Raw genomic sequence first — 8,701 nt, 5'->3', positions numbered from 1 at the left:
GTAGTGCCATTACCTGATGCTATAATATAGAGAACTGCAACAAATTCCTCAGTCAGAAAGCATCTATCTCATTAGTTGGGTCTTACCAATATTGCGATGTGTTTCATTTTTATTGTTATCAACTGATTATGCCCTATGAAATTTTGGCTTTACTCTGATAGATGTTATGGGAAATTTTGAATTACTTTCTGCCAAAGCTGGAGATCTGGATTGGCCAAGCGAAGCTGTGGGCCAGGTGGGGGTGAGGTGGACAGGGTGGGCCACACTTACACATCAGTCTTTTTTGTTTTTTTGACAACTAAAATCCTTGATTACATTTTTGTGATGAAATACTTCAAACATACAGAAAATTACACACAAAACAACAAAATGGCACCCATATACTCACAACCCAGTCCTTTCAAAGTCTAATATTTTGCCTTAGTTGAAATTATTTTAAGGATATTAGATATAATGGAAACTATTAAAGTTATTTATGAAATCCCCTTGCTCCCTCTTCTTTCCCAGAGATGATCACTTTTAAAATATTGTGCTTACTTGCTTGCAAGTTTTTACATTGTTAACTCTTTTCAAATTCAGTGTGTGTGTGTATGTGTGTGTTTTAAATTCAGTTTGATTTTGAAATATATAAATGTATCTTTTTTGATACATGTTGCTCTGGCTCATTCTTTTGATTATTTGGATTCAATCAAATGAATAAGTCATTATTCTCTGTTGATAGGCATTTAGATTGTTTTCAGATTTTTCACTATTATAAGCAATACTGCAATGAACATTCTGCTATCTGTCTTCTTATACACACTTGCCAAAAATTACAAATATTGGCCAAATCATGAAACTGGCCAAAAGATATGCACAGTTTTAGCTTCATAAAATATTGAGAAATTATCCTCCAAAGTAGTTGTGTGAGTTTATGCTTCCATTATTAATGCATAAGAGTATCAATTTCTTTAAAGATAATGACAACAATTTTTTTTCCTACCTTGCACATCAGTCTTTTTAAAGGTGCCAGCATCTGCTGGGGAAGGAGGGATGTCATCATGCAGCATGCATCCCAGGGGACAAACCTTGTCACCTGCTGTCCTGGATTAAAAACAGACATTGATTTGATCACAGTCATGCTGTTAAAAATTAAAATTGAATATAGAAGTAAATATTATGGGAAAAGTGTTTTCATTAGATCATAGCTAGTTTCTTTTTCATAATTTTTTCTTCCTAGCTAACCATTCTTCATCTGTTATTTTTTCTTCTCTTTGTCAGCCTATAATGTTTTTTGGAGGTTACATGTTTATACGTAATGGTACAAAGAGTTATCTATTAATTCACTTACAAAATTCTGTAACATGGTTTATTTTACTCTTTGCCCAAACTGTAGGCAGGCCTAAGATCGAGTAGAACCAAGCAAAGACGAACCCAAAAGAAGCATGTAATTTAGGGCACATGCCAAGAGGGCATTCACAGATGGGACAATGGTATGAGCAGCCTGGCTCCTCCTGTTGGTTTGTGCATGGAAGAATAGGGGAAACACATGGAATTTGGAGCCTGCAGACCTAGATTAGAGTTTTGACTCAGCCACTTCCTAGGCATATGACTTGACCTTTTCCAGTGTGTTTTGTCATTTATAAAGTGGAGATAAACAAACAATACCTGCTTCATAAGGTGGTGAGAATTAAATGAGATTATGTGTTTGGAAGCACATTTTCCATTAAAGCTCTGTATGTGTGTGCACGTTTTGTCTGTGTCACTGCTGTTTCCTTTCTTCTTCATTGCTAAGAGCATCCCAATTTTATATGGGACATTTGATCTTAGCTAATCATTTCTATTCCATTCACCTGCTGCCATTTATTTCTTTTCTCAGCCTCCTTTGCAGCCACGAGACCCAGTTCCAGCCAAAGAGATGTGAGGGGAAGTCAGCTTGGGGCTTCTGGGAAAGAGTTTCCTCCTTGAGAAGAAAAGCCCCTTTTCCCACCATCACTGCTATTCCTTCTTGTTTGGATGCTCGTAAAATGTCCTAATACTTGGAGCTGTGGCAGCCATCTTGGGAACATAAGTTAAGAAGCATGAGGATGAAAAGCTGACTTGTTGAGAGTGGCAGAGTAGATCCTCCTTCCCAAAGAGGATCTGGGAAGAGCCTGAGAGTTTTTGACTTCGTAGAATTTCCGAACCAGCCCATAACTACCTTCCTTTAAGTTCCTAGGTTTGTGAGATGATCAAATGACTGTTGATTGAGCCACTGCTAGTTAGGTTTTCTGTTAACTTGCAAGCAGATGCATCCTGTTACCATATTTGTATGTGCTTATGTGGGGCATACAGATGAGTGTGGTTCCTTGAGGGCACTGTGGTATAACAGGAAAGAGCACTAACTTTGAGAGTCAAAAGCTGGGGATAACTGGCTCTGAAATGATAGTCTGAGCCTTGGCTTACTGATCGATAAAACTGGAAGAATGCCACTGAACCCACAGGGCTGTTGGGAGGACTAAATAAAATAATACAAATGAAAGCACATTGCAACTGAGCAAGGGTTGCATAGATGTAAGATGTTGTTAGATATCCTGCTCTTTGACCATAGTGGAGGAGGGATGAAGGCATGCAGGTAGGAATGACTTAAGTGAATTTCGATTTTGTCAACACCCCCGCCACCATACCCCTCTTTGTGATCTCCACTGAAATATGCCCAAAGGACTCAAGCTACCCCCTCAATGCCCAGTACCCTCTAGCTCTCCATTTTCCATACTTTAAGGCTATGTTTTTCCAACTTCTCCTCCTATCTCAATCCTCTCAAAAAGAAATGGACTCATCTTGTGCCCCATCCCTTCAGGCCCAGTTAATTGTCACTCACCAACCTGGTATGTGTAGGTGTGTGTCAGAGACTTCTTCTGTTACCCTTGCCAAACAACATGTGTTTTTTTGTTTGTTTGTTTTTGAGGCAGAGTCTCGCTCTGTTGCCCAGGCTGGAGTGCAGTGGCATGATCTCGGCTCACTGCAACCTCCGCCTGCCAGGTTCAAGCGATTCTCCTGCCTCAGCCTCCCAAGTAGCTGGGATTACAGATGCGCATCCCCATGCCCAGCTAATTTTTGTATTTTTTTAGTAGAGATGGGGTTTCACCATGTTGGCCAGGCCAGTCTTGAACTCCTGACCTCAAGTGATCTGCCCGCCTGGGCCTCCCAAAGTGCTGGGATTACAGACGTGAGCCACCGCACCAGCCAACATGTGTTTTTGTGGAGTCTTAAACCAATAACGTGACAATAGGAGTACACATTTCAGGCTATTGCAAGAAGTCAAGGAAAAGCACTTGGCTTCTTGGTGCCTCTTGGAGACCCAACTGGGAGAGCTGCTCAGCTCAGAACTATTCCCCTTTCTGGGAAGGACGTAATGCACAGGTATGTACCCCAATGGCCTCCTCTGTGCTCGGTAACCTTGTCGCTAACCAGGAGTGCGGTATTGACTCAGGCTGGGGCAACCAGAGTCCTGAGGTCTTTAAAATTGCAGTTGCAGAAATAGATTCATCACTCTCTAGTGAGGTCTGAGTTCTTGGTTCTGGTTATTGATGAGGTTCACCTGCAGCCCTGCCCTTCCTCTTGCAATGTGAAACCTTCCTAATAAATTCCTTTTTCTTAGTTCGGGTTGCCTCAACTCCAAATGCTGAGACAAGGACTTGGTTGCAGGTGATCTACTTGGGGCATGATCCCAGAGAATGCAAGGGAGTGGGGGAAGTGAGGGAAAAGAGAAAGCCAATAAGGGTATATTAATGAGCAAATCCCCATGGTGGGCAACTGGGGCTCAGTCCTGCTGGGGACCTCTGGGAAACTGTAGATCACACCTCAGAATATTCCGACCACAGGATGAGGAAGTGGGGACATCTATCACTCAACTTCCATTCCCATTGGTTGAGGCTTATCCCTAGGGGTGTTGTTTCCCGGCACTTATGAGTTATGTCTCCTGCTTTTGGATGATGTGCAGAGTCCCAGTGTAGAGAAAAAGAGAGAGGTGTGAAGCTGACAGTATACTGGAAGCTGCCTACAACTACAGAACTCAGGTGGACAGAAGTGATACTGAGAAAGGCATTGACTGTCTGCCACACCCCTCTTGGCTTAAACTGGTTCCCTTTGGGTTACTGTGACTTATGACCAACAGAGCCCTGGTTATGCAGCTCACTTTAGTTTTTCCCACAGAGGCAGCCACACTCATATTGGGCCAGCCCTGTGTACAAGGCATTTCTGCCAGGAGCAGTTTCCTCAACATATACACCATCAGTGGCTACTGAGGGGCCACCGGGGCAAAAGGACTGTGGCAGAAAGTGTGGTCTAACTTCAGGACAAGGGGCCAAAAATGGCTCATTGTTGGTCCATGGAGTGATGCCATCATTTGTCTGGTGAAGAGCTCTGAACACACAGAAGTAGCCAAAAACCTGGAGAAATATTAAGGTGCTCACTATATTCTCTTCTCCAGTGTATAAATAACTCACTTTTGGCACCATGTGATCTCAAAGGATGATGTCTAAACTGAATTTTAAAGATACAATTCTTTTGAACAACACCTAAACAGAAGTTAATGGTGAACCCCAATCTAAAATGAACCACAATTATCTGTTGACCTCCTAAACTCCCAGAAAGTTGGTTTTCCTTCTACAGTTCTGAAAAAAGCCCAACTACTTCCATCTGGAATGCATTCAGCTACAGGGAACAGAAGCCTGATGTCTAGGGCTCCTACAAATTGGAGCTGCTTCTTTTCCTCATGTAACAAGAAGACTGGTAAGCGATGGTTGCTGGTAATATAGTTCAGTGGCTTGACCATGCTGTCAAGAACTCAGACATGGAGCTCACTTCCACAGTGGATGGATTTTAAGTCTCTCCACTCTGTTTAATACTTCTACTGAAGTACAGCTCTGGGTAAAGGTAATTTCAGAGAGTGGAGAGGTTAAAAAAATTAAAAGTGGTGTTAAAAATAGTGAGCATGTATCTTAGGATTTGGAAGTTTTCTGTTTAAAAAATGTTTTGCCTTGTACCTGCTCCTGACCCTTGCCATATTTAAAATAGACATTTCTTCTTTGTTCTGTTGTCTCACGTACTCTAAGGTCAAAATCTTTGTCACCAGTAGAGGCAGTAGAGCAGAGTGGGCAGGGCTGTAGGCCCTGGAACCTCACCAGCCTGTCAATCTTGGACCATTTTTGACCTACAAAAAGGGCAATGTCATATAGTTCAACTTACTAGGATAATTATCATCATTTGGTGACTATTTGTTGAGTACTTATTATTAAGTAACTTTAACAGCTCCCAAGTGACCAAGCTAGGATTCAAACCCTGTTTAATGTCAGTACCCCTGCTGAGAGGCATGGTACCATGCTGACACCCCCCAATTTTTATTGAATACTCATCTTCTGGCATCCAGGTAATAAAGCTAAAGATAGACTTTCCTTACTTTTCGAACTTTGCTATACCCACTCAGAATATATGAGAAAATGCAGCCAGCATCTTCTGGAAGATTAGGAGGGCAAGTAAGATACCATAGCCACCTCCCGGCTGACATTTGAGCCTGCTTTCCGCACGGTCAAGCCTTTCGGAGGCAGCCAGCGTATGGCTTGTATCAAACTCTATATTTAGGAAGAACAACTGTGAGCTATGACAGGAATTCTCTTTAACACTTAGCCTTAACGGTTTAAGTTCCCCTCCAGCCCCGAGCCAGGAGCAGTTCTCAATACCGGGAGAGGCACAGAGCTATTTCAGCCACATGAAAAGCATCGGAATTGAGATCGCAGCTCAGAGGACACCGGGCGCCCCTTCCACCTTCCAAGGAGCTTTGTATTCTTGCATCTGGCTGCCTGGGACTTCCCTTAGGCAGTAAACAAATACATAAAGCAGGTAAGCAGAAGGACGCAGCTCCGGCGACTGGGTTTTCTAAAGGAAATTTCCTTGATACCTAACTCGAAGTGACTACTTTTAACTTTGTAGGCTTGTAACCAGTGGGTGTAGCTTCCTTGTAAATTCATTTTTCATTGGTGGTATTGCTGATTCTGTTTATAAATTGTGAGGGGTGAGGGTGCTGAAAGAATATTGAACTAGGCAAATACTGAAAGGCAGTTTTCATCGATAGTGGCAACAATAAAATGTCCACAGTCTAGAAATGATAACTGTGACCTTGAAGCTGTGCTGGCCAGGATTACAGTCGGTCAGCTGCAGATTGATTGAAGCCCTAAGCCAAGAAATCATCAGAATTTGGGCCAGAGAGAAGCTATAATGCTAGTTCCTTTATTTACCAAAATGCAAATTATTGCCAGAGTTTTTATACAGTACAAGTTTAAAATGATTTTCTCCTCTCCCTAAGCACCAGGCTTGGTCTCAATGATAACGTTCTATCAATGATAGAACCATCTTTTTAAATCTTCACTTTGGTCACAGTATTCCCATACTCAGCAGGGTAGAGGGCAGCACTCACTGTCCCTTTCTATGTGGGCACCAGGTTCTGAAGTATGAGAACGCTAAGAGTACCTCTTTCCTCTCAGCATATTTAAAGCAGAGTGAATAAGGAGTTAGTCAGTTCAGACAGCTGAACATCTTTCTACACCCTTCTCAGGAATTATTTTTAGCTGCAGGACAGAAGATAATTCCCTTTGCGATGGAGCTTTACCCACTTATTCGACCTTTAAAAAGAACAAACAAAGCTCTTATCTCTGAATAGTGATTGATTTTCCTCTGAATCCCTTCTTATTAAATGAGTGATATTACTATTGACAAATTTTTAGTAAGTCAAAGAGTTCTATTTAGAAGTCAGATATTAGGTGCTGCCCAATCAAAGACAAGCAGGGATATATCATAGGTGACTCAGCATACAGACCATTAATGGTCCCCACTGACTTACAGAACTGCCAGGAAAACTCAGCGGTGCTTAGCTGGCAAGCATTTTCATTATACTATAGGCTTTGTAAAAGTCAATATATGCCTTGTCAAACTTTCCATGTTTCAAAACTGTAGCCAGAACCAGGAGACGTAGTAATTGAGTGCTGTAAAGAGTACCTCTTTGGACGAAAAGCAGTGGCCCTGGTGGGAGTGGAGTGTGTATCTAAGGTGTAGTTTTCTTTTCTTGGTCCCGGGATGAAGCATTCAGATGAAGAAGGAAGGTGTGTTCCGCACTCTACATCCCTGATAGAGGTGACTGCAGGGGCAGGGAAACAGGGAACACTGTCTATTTTTATTCATCAGTATGCTTTGCCCTGATTTCTCTGAAAATAATGAGGACAGCAGGAACCGCTGCTGAACTGATTTACACAAATGTTATCCAGCCTGTTTGTGAGGAATGAGAGTTGGGATCTGACCAGCTTTCTATAGATCTCTCTTTCAAAGATTGACATGCATGTTAAGAGATTTGTATGCAAATCAGAATCTACCAAAAATACAGGAGACGAGGCCCATCCATTCTTGAGGCTCAGAGGTTCACACAAAAACAGCAATCCAGTAGTAAGTTAAATCAGTCCATTGAAAATATAAAATTGGTTTTTAAAAAAATACAGTATAACAATCATTCATTGACTAATTTTAAAAAACATTTCAACTTGCTATTGTCATAACATAAAGAAATTTTCTAATCCCTGTTTCAAATTGATGTACAATAATTTTTTTAACAAGTTCCCAAGTGATATTAAACTTTAGTTGTACACACACAGAGAATACCATATGCTGAGATATTTAAAGTTCTGTGAAAATTATTGCTTTGTATGACTTCTAACAGCTTTTGAAGAATAAAAACGTTAAAAATTAAGCCACGAAGCTTTTCTTTTTGGAATTAAGCTGTATGTCCTAGATCCACAAATTAAAAATCCTTCATTTCTTTATGACACTGCAGGAAAGACAGCAATCTATTTGAAACATATCACAGAGAAAAATGTATCCTTGACTGTTCCATTTGTTATTGCTTTTTAATTTTGTAACCGTATTAAAAATAATTCTACCTAGACCCTTATGCATGGAGGCTAAATCTATATGTTACAAAGACATTCAAGTGAAACTCTTTAAAAAGAGTCCTATTGTTTTCATGTATGTGGCTCCAAAAACTATATATTTGGATACCCTGAGTATAGAGGTTTTTAAAAAATATGGAATTGTTTAACTTCACATAATAGAGCCTAAGACTTTAGAGATTTCAAAAGACTTATTTTTCACAGAGTTCTTTTCAGATCTTTTATCTCTACAGGTGTTGGGGAACATACCTATATAAATTATTACTCTGAACTTAAAGCTGGAGATGAGTACAGCACTCCAAGGTCATTAGCTATGGACGATGGTAGTAAACAATGAATATTTGCATCATGCTTTACAGTTCACAAGGCCTTTTCAGGAGCATGTATGTAATATGGATTCTTACCACAACCTGTGAAGCAGGTAAAATTTAAAGAAGAGGAAATGGGCTTAGAAATATTGAGTGACATTGCCCAGGTTACACAAGATGTGTGGCAAATGCCAACACTGCTTTTTGCATTCTTTTACTCACCAGTGGACACACCACTTACACCAGTCAATAGACCTCAATCAACCTGTTGTACAGTTTGGGTTTAAAACACAGCATGTTTTGAATTCAATGAATTTTTAATTTTTCAATTGGTCCTGCTGACATTTAATAGGCCTAGCTACAAAAACAGGCCAGAGCTAGACCATTCTCTTCTCCCCTATCCCCAGTAAATTGCATCCCGCATCCCCTAATGTGCTCTAG

The 8,701-nt window shown here is 40.8% G+C and overlaps 1 protein-coding gene across 4 annotated transcripts in view; it reads left to right on the top strand.

The window, feature by feature from the left end:
* Positions 5,685-8,701, top strand: part of SMPX (small muscle protein X-linked) — a 52,139-nt gene continuing 49,122 nt past the window's right edge. For all 4 annotated transcript variants that reach the window (NR_045617.2, NM_014332.3, XM_047441939.1 and 1 more), the window contains exon 1: positions 5,685-5,859. The gene's annotated coding sequence lies outside the window, so the exon portion shown is untranslated. The remainder of the gene's footprint in view (positions 5,860-8,701) is intronic.

This window comes from Homo sapiens, chromosome X (genome assembly GCF_000001405.40).
Source record: "Homo sapiens chromosome X, GRCh38.p14 Primary Assembly".
Classification (NCBI taxonomy): domain Eukaryota; kingdom Metazoa; phylum Chordata; class Mammalia; order Primates; family Hominidae; genus Homo; species Homo sapiens.
The sequence above is the reverse complement of the archived record's forward strand: the minus strand, read 5'-3'. Positions and strand labels throughout refer to the sequence as shown.